We start from the raw sequence: 18,133 nt of genomic DNA on the forward strand, positions 1-18,133 counted from the left end.
CCACCCTGGCCAACACAGTGAAACCCCATCTCTACTAAAAACACAAAAAATTAGCTGGGCGTGGTGGCGCGTGCCTGTAGTCCCAGCTAGTCGGGAGACTGAGGCAGGAGAATTGCTTGAACCTTGGAGGCGGAGGTTGCAGTGAGCCAAGATTATGCCACTGCACTTCAGCCTGGGTGACAGAGCGAGACTCTGTCTCAAAAAAAAAAAAAAAAAAAAAAAAAGAAATGATTAAAGTAGTCCTGACTGAAAGGCTCTTTCCAGCTCCAACACATGAAGGTTCCATAATTTTCCCCAAATGTCTGCCGCTCTGAAAACTTCAACTATCTTAATATTTGTGACATTTATGCCTGTGTATGGCAATCTGATGGTAAAAGGAGCCATATGTAAATAATAACTGAAACTTTGTCAAAATAATGTTAAGGAAACATAATTAGCAAAGCAATATATAATTACAAGTCCACTGATTTAGAGAATCAGAAGTAACAATTAGAATCAGAAATAACAACTATCTGGCAGGGATGGAAAAATGAGAGCAGATATAAAAGTGTACCCCAACCCTGACCCCACTGCCATTTGGTGTGCAACTATGTATTTCAATATTAATATCTTTCTTCAAACCAAAATGGAGTTAAGAGATCCTTAGATTCCCAGTTTTAACAAAGCTGGTCAGATAACTATCTTAAGGAGCAGAAAAATGGTCTGTCTCTTTCTCATATTTTAGAACACCACAGTGACTCTCATATAATAGCCTTCTTTCCCTCCAGATACAGACGTAGAGAAGGGAATTGTTCTTCAGACTTCAATAATGTTTGAATTCCAGGCTACAGAATTATTTTCATTGATTTTCTGAATTTCTAGGTGTCTTAATACCTGAGACATCTTTTAGGAAATTATTTCTTATTTGCATTATTATTTTTATTTAAAAACGGGCCAGGTTCAGTGGTTCACACCTGTAATCTCAGCACTTTGGGAGGTCGAGGCAGGAGGATCACTTGAGGACAGGAGTTTGAGATCAGCCTGGGCAACATAGCAAGACCCTATCTCTTAAAAAAAAAATTTTTTTTTTCCAGTTAGGTGTGGTGCTACATGCCTGTAGTCCCAGTGACTCAGGAGGCTGAGGCAGGAGGATCACTTGGGCTCAGTGGAATGAGCTATGATGGGCCACTGCACTCTGGCCTGTGCGGCAGAGCAAGACCCTGTCTCTAAAAAAAAAAATAACAAAATTTTAAAAAAGATTCTTTCTCTTTAGTAGTAATCAGAATTTAAAACGTATAGTAGTCACCCCATATTCGCGGTTTCAGCTACCTGTGGTCAACCACAGTACAAAAATAGGCCAAGGTAGTACAATAAGATATTCAGAGAGAGAGAGAGACCACATTCACACAACTTTCATTGCAGTATATTGTTATAATTGTTAATTGTATTATTATTGTTGTTAATCTCTTACTGTGTCTAATTTATAAATTAAACTTTATCGTAGGTATGTATGTATAGGAAAAAATAGAGTATATAAAGAATTCAGTACCATCTGTGATTTCAGGCATCTACTGGGGTTTTTGGAACATATTCCTCCTGGGTAAGGGAGGATTACTGTACAGATGTTTGTCACATAATATTAAACAAGCAGAATGGGGTGGCAACTCTAAAAACGCTATCCATGAGAAATTTCAGTTGAATGTACCTTTCCACTTGGTATCAATGACTTGGTCAGCTATGTGAATTCTGATGGGGTAGTCTAATTACTTTAAGCCAGAGGTTCTCATAATTTCTTGGTTCACAGTGTGCCCTTAGTATCTCAGCAATGTTTGCATGACACCCCAGGCCAACAAATACATAACCATTCTGTTTAGTAAGTAGTCAGGTCCAAACAACCTAGTAAGTATTTGTGTCCTTACATCTTGTAGTTGTTTTAAAAAATAATACACATAACATGAAATAAAAAATATTTAATTTCATTTTTAAATAACCACAATTAATTACTTACTAATGGATGTGTGCCTGGGCTATGTATCACTTTTCAAACCTTGGAATCAGTTCAGACACCACCAATCCTCATTCCCTGTTCCACACTGATTTTCACACAGTAGTTGTTGGTTATCAAAGCAATTGCTAAAAACCTAACTTTGCAAAGATATGATGTCATTGAAAGGAATGGAGTGCACTGTTGAAACTGTGAACTATCTCAAACTACTTCATGTGGTGTCCAACTAGTATAGGTAGTTCTGTGTTTGCTTTCAAAACAATTTTCCATGAGGCCCCTGGGATTTTTCCATGGGGTGCTAGGATGCCATGGTGTATAGTTCACAAACCACAGCTTTAGATCTTTTCTTCAACCACTACCCAAGCAACTGAATGACAATTTCTCTCCCATTTTATCAGGGCCATCTCCAAAAAGACTTATAAATTAGGTATATATAATATATATATATATTATATATACCTAATTATATTATATAATATATAATATAAAGAATATTATATAAACATAACTACTACAATTTTTAGGCATTAAGTTAAAACTGCCTATATTTGACGATTTTCTACCTACAAAAACAATTTTATAAGATTCATCAACTTTTTAAAAAATTACATACTTGTATGTCTTGATTGGCTTGGTCAAGAAGGAAGAGCCTCACTTTCAAAAACTTCATGCATGTTTGACAATCAGAGCATAGGTAGGTATAGTAACCTCCCTGTTTCCATGGAAATCAAAGGTGGAAATCTGTAACTATAGGCTCCAAACTAACATTAATATAGTTCCTGGCCAAGAGTGGTGAGCTATGCAGTGAGCTATTTTTGCACCACTGCATTCCAACCTGCGCAAAAGAGAGAGACCCTGTCTCAAAAAGAAAAAACAGAAAACAGATATATATATATAAAATTTCCTTTGACTGTTAGTCAACTATATATTAATATGGTTATAAAAGCAGCCCACTGGCCAGGAACGGTGGCTCATGCCTGTAATCCTAGCACTTTGGGAGGCTGAGATGGGCAGTTCGAGACCAGCCTGGGCAACATGATGAAACCCCGTCTCTACTAAAACACAAAAAATCAGTCAGGTGTGGTGGCAGGCACCTGTAATTCCAGGTACTCAGGAGGCTGAGGCATAAGAATTGCTTGAACTGGGAGGTGGAGGTTGCAGTGAAGCCAAGATCGTGCCACTGCACTCCAGCCTGGGCAACAAGGCAAAACTCTGTCTCAAAAAACAAAAATAAAAGCAGTCCACTAAGGAGAGTTATGTTGTTCTCATATATTGCTCTATTTACTACTTCACAGTGAGCCTGTTACCCAAATAAGCAAACAAATCATGCTCTTACAATGAATCAGATGGAAAGGTGTAAATACAGGTATTATTGATTTTATACAACAGACGTTTCCCTAAAAGTTACATAATACGAATTAAGGTAAGATAATTATGGGAAGACGTGTTTAAGTATACTGGAATGTCTCATTTAGAGGAATCCAAAGGTGAGTTCTTTGTAAAGTGAAGAATGTTTTCCAAGGGAAATTGGCACTCTCCCATTTGTATATATACAAATTGCACATGCTTATTGTCAACTAAAGGACAAGACTTGTTTTTCTCAGTGGAGGCTACTACATTTTTAGAAGATAATTATGTGGTTCCATCTTTTTAGCGATTAAGAGATACTATAAATATAAAATAGGGCCAGGTGGCTCACATTTGTAATCCTAGTGCTTTGGGAAGTTGAGGCAGGAGGATCACCTGAGGCCAGGAGTTCAAGATCAGCCTGGGCAACACAGCGAGACCTTGTCTGTACAAAAAAAAAAAAAATTTTTTTAATTTAGCAGGGCATGATGGTGTGTGCCTACAGTCCCAACTACTTGGGAGGATGAGGCAGGAGGATTGCTTGAATCTAGGAGTTCAAGGTGCAGTTAGCCATGACTGGACTGTGCCACTGCACTACAGCCTGGGCAACAGAGTGAAACTGTCTCAAAAATATATATATACACATACACACACACACACACATAATTCTTGAAAAGCAAATTTTAAACTCTGATAATGTCTAAATTTTGTCATGAGCAAAGTAAATGGCCACATTGGAAAATCCTGATCTGTTGTTTGCAGCAGTATCAATTTCCCTCAAGATTAACTTGTTCACACAAAAATATTTTGGGGTCACTGTCAGTAATTATACATATATAAAAATTATATGAAGTACAGCCAACAATGGAAAAAGCATTAAAAAGCCTATAAAGATAATCTGATCAATAATGTTCATATGACTAGGAGCACAACTGAGTTTTTCAATGCCCTTCAACATACATAAACTTCTATAAATTATTTTTTAAAGTGTACAGTCTGATTAGTAATATTGAAAATTACAATCGCACAAGAATATTTTTGTTTTCAAAGTACATGAGAGTGAGGGTGGCATGGGAAAGAGAAAAGTTGTGCAAAACGCTCATGTTCCAAGTAATGTAAGAATTTTTTTATTATTTATTTATTTTTTTTAGACGGAGTCTCGCTCTGTCGCCAGGCTGGAGTGCAGTGGCACGATCTCAGCTCATTGCAACCTCTGCCTCCCAGGTTCAAGCGATTCTCCTGCCTCAGCCTCCCAAGTAGCTGGGACTACAGGCACGTGCCACCACACCTGGCTAATTTTTGTATTTTTAATAGAAACGGAGTTTCAACATGTTGGCCAGGATGGTCTTGATCTCTTGACCTTGTGATCTGCCCACCTCAGCCTCCCAAAGTGCTGGGATTACAGGCATGAGACACTGTCCCCGGATGAAAAATTTATAAATGCTAAGAGTATGATGTAAATATAATTTGACAAATGATTTTCAAATATAACACCAAGCTGACAGGATAGCTTGATTCAATATTGTTTGTATGAATTTTTTTTTTTAGTGGAAGAAAATGAATTCAACAAAAATACTGCAAGATATCAGAAGAATATTCAATTGCTCTGGTTTTGTTTAACATTTCTGAACTAGGTTGAGCTTTAAATGAAATTCATTCTACCCCCTCCTCCTCTCATTTTACTTGGCCAAGAACTTTGCCAACTAGTGAAAAGGGGTGAGAGGAAGCATTCCATGGCAGAGGGATCTTCATACAGAAAGTTATATGCCAATATGATAGTGTTCATGGTCAATGCAACCTTATAATAAAGAAAAATGGTGAGATAGAAAAAGATTTAGTAATGTTAAACTGGACTGACATTATTAACATATGCTCTAAGAGAAACATGGTCTCCTGCTCTGTCACTACAGTGGCCAGCAAAAATGCCTCCCTCCTTATCCTCAACTCCATGTTGAACAGATTTTGGTCTCTAATACTATTCTCCATTAAGAAGGAACCAGAGGCCAGACATGGTGGCTCACATGTGTAATACCAGCACTTTCGGAGGCTGAAGTGGGAGGATCATTTGAGGCCAGGAATTTGAGACCAGCCTGGGCAACACAGTGAGACCCTGTCTCTTTAAAAACAAAACAAAACAACAACAACAAGGGAGAGTACTAGTTCCATGTCTTAGGGCAGGAAAAAAATATCAAAATCGATTGGACTATCTTGCTTCTGACAAGATCCTGAACTCCTGGTCTCAAGTAATCCTTCCACCTCAGCCTCCCAAATGCTGGGATTACAGGCGTGAGCCACTGTGCCCAGCCGAGAAGAATTTTTAAAAAACGTCCAAGGGTAAGTGCTAAAAGGACAAAGAAGCCAGTTTGAGGTTAGCCAGGCTGTCACAATTTGAACATTAGAAAGAGAATAATAATTACAGCTAAGTGGAATAAATTAAGTCTGTGATAAGCCATGAATTCATAATGAGATGCAAAAGGGAAAGCTAAGATACATAAAAAGATAGTTGTAAAAAAGGGTGAAAATAATAGGGTATCCAATGTCTTATTATATTAATAACTAGGTTGGTGTTAATACTTAGGTGTTTTGTTTCTCCTGTTAAGTATATGTCTATTTATGAAGTATAGCCGTATACTTTTTTGTTTCAGTACAAGGAGGGTAGGGTAGTTACAAAGAATTGTGTGCGACTAAGCCAAACAGTTCCAAAAAAAGTAGGTCACATACCAAAAACAAGAAATTCAGATCAGCACAGGCCCTAACACATACAGCAATATGTATTTTTAAAGAAGACGCAGTGGCTGATGAGTTTGATCACACACAATGACCGAGTAGACATTGTGAGTTCTAAAACGGTGAATTAGTCCAATATCCTAGAGAGCTCACAGTACAGACCGGAACCCTGATTGCTCAGGAAAGGAAACATCTATAATTCCTAGCACCACTGCTACCAGAAAAGGGCAAGTTATAATGACAACAGAGCACTGAGCTATGAAACACTGATCACACAAAAAATAAAGAATATTTCAATTAATGGAATAACTCTAGGCTGCAAGAAACTAACAGTCTATGAGAAAGGCATGAACTTAAAAAAAAATCCTCCTGAGCAGGTAACATTCAATTATAGAGGGGAACTAATGCACACCAACACTTTAGGTTGCCCATCAACACAGTTTGGGTAAGCTTTAGGCATAACCAAACCTTGTGTTTTAATTAAGAATCAAATCCATCAACAACTCTGAACTCTCAGTAATTTGAAATTTTGCTTTGTTTTGGTAGTGGTAAGATTACTGTAACCTACAAAGGTATAGAAAAATTACTATAATTCTGGAAAGTATAGAAATAGAAATCTGGAAGAGTATTATAACTCTAGGGAAATATAAAAATGCAAATATATCAGCTGAATGCAGTGGTTCATGCCTATAATCCCAGCACCTTGGGAGGCCAAGGCAGGAGGTTCACTTGAGCCCAGGAATTCAAGACCAGCCTGGGCAACATAGTGAGACCTCGTTTCTACTAAAAATAAGAAAAATTAGCTGGATGTGGTGGTGCACACTTGTGGTCCCAGTTACTCAGGAGGCTTAGGCAGGAGGATGGCTTGAACCTGGGAGGTCAAAGCTGCAGTGAGCCATGACTGTGCCATTGCATTCCACCCTGGGTAACAGAGTGAGACCCTGTCTCAAAAAAAAAAAAAAAAAAAAAAAAGTATAGAATGAATAAATTAAACCAACAGGTTAATATTTTAAAATACATTTAAGTAAATTTTTGACCACTATATAAAGTGAAGTTTAACAGACAGTATAATTAATTATAATTGTAACTTAAACTGGTATTAAACATAATTTAACTAAATAAGCTTATAAACAATGTCTAAATGTTTTTAAAAAAATTTTTTTTGAGACAAGGTCTCGCTCTGTTGCCCAGGCTGGAGTGCAGGTGGCATAATCAAGGCTCACTGTAGCCTTGACATCCCCGGCTCAAGGCATCCTCCTGCTTCAGCCTCCCAAGTAGCTGGGACCACAGGCATGTGCCACCATACCTGACTAATTTTTAAAAGTTTTTATACAAATGGGGTCCCCTTGTGTTGCCCATGCTGGTCTCAAACTCCTGGGCTCAAGTGATTCTCCCACTTTGGCCTCCCAAAGTGCTGGAATTACACGCATAAGCCACCACACCCAGCCTAAATGTTTAAAAAAATTTTATTTTAGAACTTTAGTGTATTAGATAAGTAGGTTTACTAAACTGAGTATTAAATTATGAGCAGTGATGAGTATTTTTCTCCATGCCCCAAATATCTTCAGACATTAAAGAATGAAATGGAACAGAATGCTTGGGAATTGGCAAATAAATACAAGTGACTCTAGCCCAAATTATGTGTGGAAAAAGCAGTGAAAGAAGCAGCTGGGAAGGTTAAGAAGGAGCCATATATTTAGGGACCTTGTATTACATGTAGATTCTTAGTTTGATCAAATAGGCAATGGGGAGCTACTCAGAGTATTTAGAAAAGGACGAGGCAGAGATCAGTCTTGGCACGGTTACGAACACCCTCTGGTGGTAAGAGAGAATAGATTACAGGGTAGAAGAGACCTGCCGCAGGGAAAAGTTAATCCAGGATCGGAGACAGGCAGTGAGATAGAGACTTGTTCAAGAAATAATGCAATATGAAAAAGGTGCTCAATGCCATTGATCATTAGAGAAATGCAAATCAAAACTACAGTGAGATATCATCTCACCTCAGTCAAAATGGCTTTTATCCAAATGTCAGGCAATAACAAACATTGGCAAGGATGTGGAGAAAAGGGAACCCTTGCACACTGTTAGTGGGAATGTAAATTAATACAACCACAATGGAGAACAGTTTGGAGGTTCCTCAAAAAACTAAAAATAGAGCTCACTGAAGCCTCAAATCCCTGGGCTCAAGCGATCCTCCTGCCTCAGCCTCCAAAGCAGCTAAGACTATAGGTGTGCACTAGCACACCTGGCTAATTTTTTTTTTCAATTTTGTGTAGAGACAGGGCCTCACTATGTTGCCCAGGCTCATCTTAAACTCCTGGCTTCAAGCAATCCTCCTGCCTCAGACTCCCAAAGTAGTGGGATTACAGGCATGAGCCACCACACCCAGCCCATAATTTTCTATGGTAAGATTCTCTTAATTTCAGGGTTCAAACTTACTCTAACTAGGGCATCAATATATAACTTTTAACAATGTTATACTCACTACATGAGGGTTTCTTTTTAACCCATATAGTCTCCTGATATAATTCAATGCATCTCTTTTTAGTCTCAGAAGCACAAAGATGTTTAATATATTATCTCATGTACGGTAAGAACTATTACTTTAATTTTTAAAAATAGTATAGAAACAGGGTTCTTGCTGTGTTGCCCAGGCTGGTCTTGATGGCCTCAAGTGATCCTTCCACCTCAGCCTCCCAAAGTACCAGGATTACAAGTGTGAACCACCAAACCTGGCAGAAACTATTTATTTATTTATTTATTTTTGAGATGGAGTTTCACTCATGTCGCCCAGGCTGGAGTGCAATGGCGTGATCTCGGCTCACCACAACCTCCACCTCCCAGGTTCAAGCGATTCTCCTGCCTCAGCCTCCCGAGTAGCTGGGATTGCAAGCATGCGTAATCATGCCAGCATAATTACGCATTAGCCACCATGCCTGGCTAATTTTGTATTTTTAGTAGAGATGGGGTTTCTCCATGTTGGTCAGGCCGGTCTCGAACTCCCGACCTCAGGTGATCCGCCCACTTTGGCCTCCCAAAGTGCTGGGATTACAGGCATGAGCCACTGTGCCCGGCCTCTTTTTTTTTTTTTTTTTTTAAACCAAGCCATGTTTAATATCCCTTTATAACTAACCTTTTTAAAAAACAAATAAAAAATCTGTTTCAAACTTTTTTTTTTTTTAAGAGACAGGATCTTGTTCTGTTGCCTGGTTTTTGTTTGAAAAAACATTTCCACTTTTGGAACTATAACACTATCTCCATTCATAATCACGTATGTTCTCATTTTCTCATTCATTCATAGAAACATTTTGACTCCCACACGTTTCTTTTTTTTCCTCCCGCACATTTCTTTTTTTTCCTCCCGCACATTTCTTTGTCACTAAAAACATTCTCAAGTAACTAGCATTACATCAGATTGCATTTAAAATCTAAGAGCTGATACTCATTTTCCTTTAACAGCTCTATCACACTTAAAGACTAACTGAAATTCTTCTTATTGTAAAAAAAATCTAAAGCTAAAAGTGAAAATTATTTTGATTATGCAGTTATGGACAATCTACTACACTTTCATAACAATAATTTTTAAAAGATTACTTAAATCCTGTCAAGTGGTTATCCTACAAGCTATATACTCTTCACAACTATATAGTACATTAAAGTACCATAGTTGAGACACCTATGTTTAGTACTAGAGCAACGTCACTGTGGCACTATTAACATGTTTAACATGTTTTCAGTTATTTATTGATTCAACAAATATTTATTGTGTTGGGGACTAAGCCCTCTTTCAGATCTAGCAGTCTTTCATGCTATCACATACAGGCACAAAGTTAGGTTCTAAGGATGCAATGATAAGGCAAAACTTGACATGATTCTAGCTTTCATGGTTTTCAAACTGTCCAGTGAAAATAGAGATCAATCAAATAATCACATGAATGAATGTGTAATTAAAATCTAACATGAGTAGTCTGAAATAAAGAAACCATTTGATGAGCATTTATAACAATCATTATTGTAGGAATGAATGCTAAATAAACTTGACCTAGCGTGAAAGCGGGGGGAGCAGTGTCAGAGAAGGCTTTCAAAGGAAGTGATGCTTGAACTGAAATCTAAGGCATAAAAGTAGGGGTGAGGAACAAAATAAACTTTCCCCCTTTAAAAAGATCACTCTAACTGCAATGTTGAGAATAGACAAGAGAAAATAGTCAGGAAACTATCACAGTAGAAAGAGCTAGAGATAATAAAAGTTTTTAGTGGATGGAAATGCAGAGATACAAACGGATCCAATAGCTATTTAGGAAGTTAAATCAGGAGGAGAGTGATGGATTCAATATGAAGGAATGAGGAAGAAGGTGTCATGGAGGGTTCCTAGATTTTTTTGGTTCTTGCAGTTAAATATGCATTAGTTTTCTATGGCTGCTGTAACAAATTACCCAAAATTCGTGGCTTAAAACGTCACAAATCTATTTTCTTATGGATCTATAGGTCAGAGGTCTCACTGGGCTAAAATCAAGATGTTGACAGGGCTGCATTCATTTTCTTTATTTTTTTTGAGACAGGGTCTCACTCTGTTGTGCAGGCTAGAGTGCGGTGGTATGATCAGGGCTCACAGCAGCCTCAACCTCCCATACTCAAGCGATCCTCCCACCTCAGCCCCATGCCCAGCTAATTTTTTTTATTAACTTTTTTTTTTTTTCAAAGACAGGGTCTCTAAATGGATTCTAGGAAAGAATCCATTTTCTTGCTCTGTCCTAAATCTAGTTAATGACGAATGTTTCCTATATCTTGCAAGATTAAAAAATTACTCAATCATTAGCCACCTTTCAGAGTTTACCAAAAATACGTAACAAAGAAAAGGAATCAAGCCCTAATGTCTGCTCAGGTGATCTGTGTTCACATTCTCTTTCACCTAGACCTAAGGACTTACTTCTTTAAAACTACTGCCACTTTTTCTACCCATTGAGGTTTGTAAGATGATGATGTATCTTCTGCTTGAATCAACCTTTCTTCCCCACTTATTTTTCTTTTCTTCTCACATATAAACTCACAGGCCCTTTTCATTTAAAGCATTTTCTGCTTAATAACCAATGTAGACGATTAGATTAATCCCAATAAAGATCAAGAAGAGGTCTTTTGCCCCTTGTCTCAAGCGCCCAGTGGTTTCCTATCAGATCTATCATCAGAATGTTGTAATTCCCCCTACTGAAGGGCGGTATGGGAAAACAGAATGAATAAGGAACGTGGGACATGGAATCAACGTGGGTTCTCACCTCAGCACTACCACTTACTACTGAATATTAGGAAAACTACCTCACCATGCCTCAGGACCAAAGGGGATAACAGTAACACTTCAAAGGGTGGTTACAGGAAATACAGAAAAATATAAGTAAAAGACCTAGAACACTGCCTGCCACATGGTAGTTGCTTAATAAATACACACTATTATTGTTATTATTATCTAGCATTCTTTCTCCCTAGTCATCAGGTTAACATCACTAGATTCCTGTCATCCCACATTGACAATTCTCTGTCAGTGAAGTTTTTCATTAGATAGGCCACAACTAATTGGCATGCAGCTTTCTAATTACATTCACATTTCAGAACTCCCAGGCCAGTCTGAGTGCATGTGTGGATCCTATACTCTCTCCTAACTACACAAACAGTCTCAGATTACTTTACATAATATTCTTCCCAGTTACAATTTCAATCTGGAGCCTACAGGTCAAGCCTAGCATCAGAAATCTAATTCATTCTCTTTGCCATAGCAATTAAAATGCAACAAAAAGAGATTTAGCCTTCAGAAACCTACTCCAAATTGTGTCTTTGCATACAAACTCTCATCTTTAAAAAGGTACAAATAGAAGAATTTTCAGATGCTATTTATGCATCACTGCACTGGGACAAACTCTTAATTGAGAGGTGGCATACTTTAGTATAAACGTGAAGAATAAACTTGCTTTCCTTCTGGACCATATATGGTTTAGGTGAAGACTTGTACTTGGGTCTGAGGTCAAACAAGACACTTCCCAGGAGCCTTGCCATTCTACTCCTATGCAGCATGCTGAAATCACAGCTGAGAGCACCTGGACTGGCCCAAAATCAATAGTTCCTACTACCTGATCTGCAGATCTTATAGTTACTACTATAAGCATTTTCAGATATCTGTAAAATTGAAAAAAATAAAAGAATTCATGTTCCTTACTCAGTATTTCACCAGGTCTCTCTAAAATCAGGCTGAACCAATCCAATGCCATCACATCATCATAGGACCTTGATATTTACCAATAATGAAAGACTCTGTGCTGCTTTTGGTACCTTGTCCAAACCCCAGGTTGACAATCTGCCTCTGCATACTAAAATTCTCATGATTGAAAGCCTACCAAATGTTCTACACTACATTGGACAGTATGAAGAACATGGGACTGCAGTGACTGTCAAGGGCGTATGAAATTTAGCAGTCCTGATTACTATGACGGCATGAAAGACTGCTAGATCTGAAAGAGGGCTTAGTCCCCAACACAACGGAATTGTTCTCTACACCAGACATAATAAGTAAAATCTATTTATTTACATTAATAAATTACAACACATAAAGATTTTTTTTAAATCATGGTTCTTTCAGTTATCATTTTAAGATAATTAAGGCCCTTGGTATTAATCTCCATATTAAGTAATTCTTATACATACAAACAGTACAGAAATGATTTACTACAGAAAGTAAAATACAGCCGGGCATGGTGGCTCACACTTGTAATTCCAATGCTTTGGGAAGCCAAGGTGAGAGAACTGCTTGAGAACAGGAGTTCAGGAGTTCAAGACCAGCCTGGGCAACAAAGCGAGACCCTGTTTCTACAGGAAAAAAAAAAAGAAAAAAAATTAGCCAGGCGTGGTAGCATGTGCCTATAGTCTCAGCTACTTGGGATGCTGAGCTCAGGAGTTGGAGGCTGCACGGAGCTACAATCACAACACTGCTCTCCAGCCTGGGCAACAGAGCGAGACCCTGCCTCTTAAAAAAAAATTAAATTAAAGAGAGAGAGAAAAATACAATAGATCTGAATAAATAAGAATTTTAAAATTTCACTGGAGTCCGGGAGTCTCTAGAACATGATGTGGACTCCCTCTGCTGGTTCCTAGTAGCAGCAGTTCCATGACATCAACAAAAATCCCTGACAAAGGAGCAACGGAAGCCAAAGGGCTAATCTAAATTCATTTCTATTTAGATTAGGGGATGTTTCATAGTGGATCTGACTATGGGTCAGTCAAAGGCAATACTAAAAATGATTGCGTTTTTACTACAACTACGAAAAAAGTAACCAGCATATTGTAAATCTCTGTGCGAATAGTGGGATAATTTAAAATTTATTTTCATTTGCAGTGCATTGTGTGGTTTTTAGCAGCATGTTATCTTTCCAAAATAGTCTTCTCTTAGTTTTCATCTGAGCTCAAATTAAGTTATTTTTAATATGGGCCCTTATAATTTAATGGAAAAATAAAGAGGTCAACAACCACAAGGGAATGTGGACCTATGATTAGTCCACAGAGCACACAAATCGCACATGGCTATGTGAGAGGAGAACAGAATGGTATTAGCTGGTTACTGCTGGGAAAGCTGTCACCACAACTTGCTTTTTACAATACTATAATTCTACGAAACTCATGTAACCTTTAGTTTGTCCTAAATATAACTAATAAACTAAAACAGAATCAGCAAGCTTTCAATTTCCAGTACTGGCAGAGTAGTCTGGTTGGTCTAATCCTGCCACAAATATAATACTAAAATATTAAAAATTCACTACTTAAAGGCACTGGAGTCTGACCAGTATCAGGCAGAAACTGCAACTGGTGAGATTTGGGAACTTGTGGCCTTTTGCCTGAAGCATTCCCCAATCCACTAACAGCTTGGTTAGCCTCACCTTACTAGCTTGAGGTGTCAGAGGAGAACTCAAGTTTAGGGCTGACAGAGTAGCAAAAAAATTAGGGGCAAGGCTTGAGGGAGAGGCAGAAGGAATAAAGCCCAATTCATGCATATAAAATCCACTCAAAGTTTCACTCACTGCTGAACTACACATATCCAGGGGAGATCCCAGGCAGCCCATCAATAAAGCAGCAGGTGGAAGCTGAAAAACACTGCAAGATTTCTGCCCAACACAGGAGAGACAAGAGTTTGGAGTTGAGTATGAGTTGAGTCAAGCTGTCTGCTAGAACAAAAATCACAATTTCAGAAGAATATAACAGAATCCAGAGTTTCCACAATGTCCAGTACCCAATAACAAATCACAACTTATAAGAAGAAAAAGGAAAACGTGATGCATATGCACCAAAATGCTGTCAACAAAAACCAACTCCAAGATAACCCCAATGATATAATTAGCAGTCAAGGATTTAAAATCAGCCATTATAAATATGTTCAAAGACTTAAGGGAAAAAGACATAATAAATAAAAGGGGTATTTTAGCAAAGAAGTATAACTATGGAAAAGGACCAAGTGGAAATTCTAGAGCTAAAAAGTAAATTGAAACAAAATGTTCACTGGATTGAATGAACAGCAGATTGGAGATGGCAGAAGTTATTAAAGTTAGAGCATTAGAAATTATCCAATCAGAAAAACACAGAAAAAAATATTGAGGAAAAATAAGCAGAGCCTTGGAGTATTTGAATAATGGATGGAAACATCCCAAATTTAGTGAAAGACATCAACCTACAGATCCAAAAAGCTCAACAAACCCCAAACAAGAAAACCACCTCTAGGCATACCATAGTCAGACCACTGAAATACAAAGAGATAATCCTAAAAGCAGCCAGAGAAAAATAACACATTACATACAGGATAAGAACACCACCATTAAGAACACGAAAAGGCAAGCGAGACTGGGAGGAAATACGTGCAAAACATATCTGACAAAGGACTTGTATCCAGACCGAAGAATGAAAACAAAACAACTTGCTAATAAAAGAAATAACCCAATTTTTAAAAAATGAGTAAAAGATTTGAACAAATACTTCATAAAGGAAGATTTACAATGGCCAATAAGTACAACGAAAGTGCTCAGCATTTGTCATCAAGGAAATGCATTTTAATACTACAATGAGATACTACTTCATACATTCTAGAATGGCTAAAATTAACGACTGACAACACTAAATGTGAATCAACCAGAATATTCACATATTGCTGGAGAGAATATAAAACAGTACAAAGAGAGCTCTCTTCAGAAGCGCATATACTAAAATAATAAAATGGTACAAGTGGCCCAGCATGGTGGCTCATGCCTGTAATCCCAACATTTTGGGAGGCCGAGGTGGGAGGATTTCTTGAGGCCAGGAGTTCAAGACCAGCCCAGCCAACAAAGCAAGACCCTCTCTCTACAAAAAATAAAAACATTAGCCAGGCATGGTGATGCATGCATGCAGTCCCACCACTTTGGAAGGTAGAGGTGGGAGGATCACTTGAGCCCAGGAGTTTGAGGCTGCAGTGAGCTTCATCCACCTCAGAGCCCAGCCTGAGCAACAGAACAAGACCCTGTCTCTTAAAAAAAAGGTATCTGAGGCCGGGCACAGTGGCTCATGCCTGTAATTCCAGCACTTTGGGAGGCCGAGGCAGGCGGATCACCTGAGGTCAGGAGTTCGAGACCAGACTGGCTAACATGGTGAAACCCCGTTTCTACAAAAAAATTAGCCAGGCGCAGTGGCACGCGCCTGTAATCCCAGCTACTCAGGAGGCTGAGGCAGGAGAATCGCTTGAACCCAGGAGGTGGAGGTTGCAGTGAGCTGAGATCACGCTATTGCACTCCAGCTTGGGCAACAAGAGCAAAACTCCATCTCAAAAAAAAAAAAAAAAGTACCTGCAAAAGAGACTTATAAATGCTCATAGCAGCTTTATTCACAACAGCCAAAACTGAGACAACCCCAAAGTTTACAAACAGAAGAATGAATAAACAAAATGTGATAAAGTCATACCATGGAATACTACCCCACAATAACAAGGAATGAACTACTGATCCATGCACAATATGGATGAATCTCACAGACAGTATGGTCAATGAAAGAAGCTGGACCAAATGAGTATACACTTTAAGAGTCCATAAGTTTAAGACAAAACCAAGATTAAAAAAATCAGAACAGAGATGAGTAATTTAAAAATATGAAGATGGGTCAAACATACATAGAGTCAAACAGGAATTCAGACTTGATACAGAACGGAAATAGAGGCGTCCTTCAAGTAGTTAAGTGGTTAACTACTTGCCAAGTGAGATTCAATACTTTATAGAGAGTAAATTTTACTTTTATACAAATTTTAAAATAAAAACTCCTTGATAGCAGCAAATGTGTCTGACTTGATTTGTTTTGGAGCTATCTTAACACAGGTGAAATGTGTACAAAAGTTTTTACAGCAATGAAGATAAAGGCACAGATAATGTGTGATGACAATAAAACTTCTTTAAAAGTGGTTCTGATTTCAAGTAAAAGAGCAAGCGAACATAGATGTCAGAAGAGGCCATAAGGTGAATAATGTGAATACAATTTCAATGTAAATAATCTTAAAATAGATTAAAATATAAGATTAATAATATAAAGGATGTTGTATATCTGATCCAATGTCAGATCTACCATCATATGTTGCTTAACAACAGGGATACATTCTGAGAAATTCATTGTTAGGTGATTTTGTGTTATGCAAACATCAGAGTGTACTTACACAAACACAGATGGTATAGCCTACTACACAACCTAGGCTGTACGGTACAGTCTGTTGCTCCAAGGCTACAAACGTGTACAGCATGTTACTGTACTGAATAGTGTAGGCAACTGTAATACAATGCTAAATATTTGTGTATCTCAACATAGAAAAGGTACAGTAAAAATATGGTTTAGGGAACACTTATTCTATTTTATGAAATGAAGTGTTGCCTGATTCTAGAATCACAAATAAAGCCAATTGAGATCTTAAAATACACACATACATACATACATACACACACACACACACACACACACACACACACACACACACACACACGGTTTAAAAGACAAAAAATGGTATACCTGTATAGGGCATTTACCATGCATGGATGCATGGAGCTTTCAGGACTGAAGCTGCTCTGGGTGAGTCAGTGAGTGAGTTGTGAGTGAATGTGAAAGTCTAGGACATTACTATATAGTACTGTATACTTATAAACACTGTACACTTAGGCTGCACTAAATTTATTCAATTTTTCTTTCTTCAATAATACATTAACCTTAGCTTACTGTAACTTTACTTTATAAACTTTTAAATTTTTTTAACTTTTTGACTTTTGTAATAACACTTAGCTTAAAACACAAAACACTGGGCCAGGCACAGTGGCTCATGCCTGTAATCCCAGCACTTTGGGAGGCCAAGGCGGGCGGATCACCTGAGGTCAGGAGTTTGAGACCAGCCTGACCAACATGGAAAAACCCAGTCTCTACTAAAAATACAAAATTAGCTGAGCGTGATGGCGTGTGCCTGTAATCCCAGCTACTCGGGAGGTTGAGGCAGGAGGATTGCTTGAACCTGGGAGGCAGAGGTTGCAGTGAGCCAAGATCATGCCATTGCACTCCAGCCTGGGCAACAAGAGCGAAATTCCATCTCAAAAAAAAAAAAAAAGTATTTTATTTATATCTTTATTCTAAAAGTTTTCTATTTTTAAAATTTTTAATTTTTTTTACTTTTTAAACTTCTTGTTAAAAATGAAGACACAAACAAACACATTAGCCTAGGCTTACACAGGGTCAGGATTATCAAGATGTCACTTAGGCGATTGAAATTTTTCAGCTCCATTACCATCTTATGGGACCACCATCCTATAAGCAGTCTGTCATTGACCTAAACATCATTATTCAGCACAAGTGTATTTCAAATTTAGAGTTTTACTTTGATGTTCTTCTTTTTTTCTTTTTCTTTTTTTTGAGACGGAGTCTCACTCTGTCGCCCAGGCTGCAGTGCAGTGGTGCAATCTCGGCTCACTGCAACCTCCGCCTCCTGGGTTCAAGAAATTCTCCTGCCTCAGCCTCCCTAGTAGCTGGGATTACAGGTGCCCGCCACCATGCCCAGCT

General features: G+C 38.1%; 1 protein-coding gene across 10 annotated transcripts in view; it reads right to left on the reverse strand.

Moving 5' to 3' along the window:
- The window catches only part of INIP (INTS3 and NABP interacting protein), a 34,192-nt gene that overhangs the window by 14,179 nt on the left and 1,880 nt on the right, over positions 1-18,133 (reverse strand). For 3 of the 10 annotated variants that reach the window (NR_138055.2, NM_001329590.2, NM_001329588.2), the window contains one exon: positions 3,684-3,776. The exons of the other annotated variants lie outside the window; for them this stretch is intronic. The gene's annotated coding sequence lies outside the window, so the exon portion shown is untranslated. The remainder of the gene's footprint in view (positions 1-3,683; positions 3,777-18,133) is intronic. 10 annotated transcript variants of the gene reach the window in all.

Source organism: Homo sapiens, chromosome 9, assembly GCF_000001405.40.
Source record: "Homo sapiens chromosome 9, GRCh38.p14 Primary Assembly".
Lineage (NCBI taxonomy): Eukaryota > Metazoa > Chordata > Mammalia > Primates > Hominidae > Homo > Homo sapiens.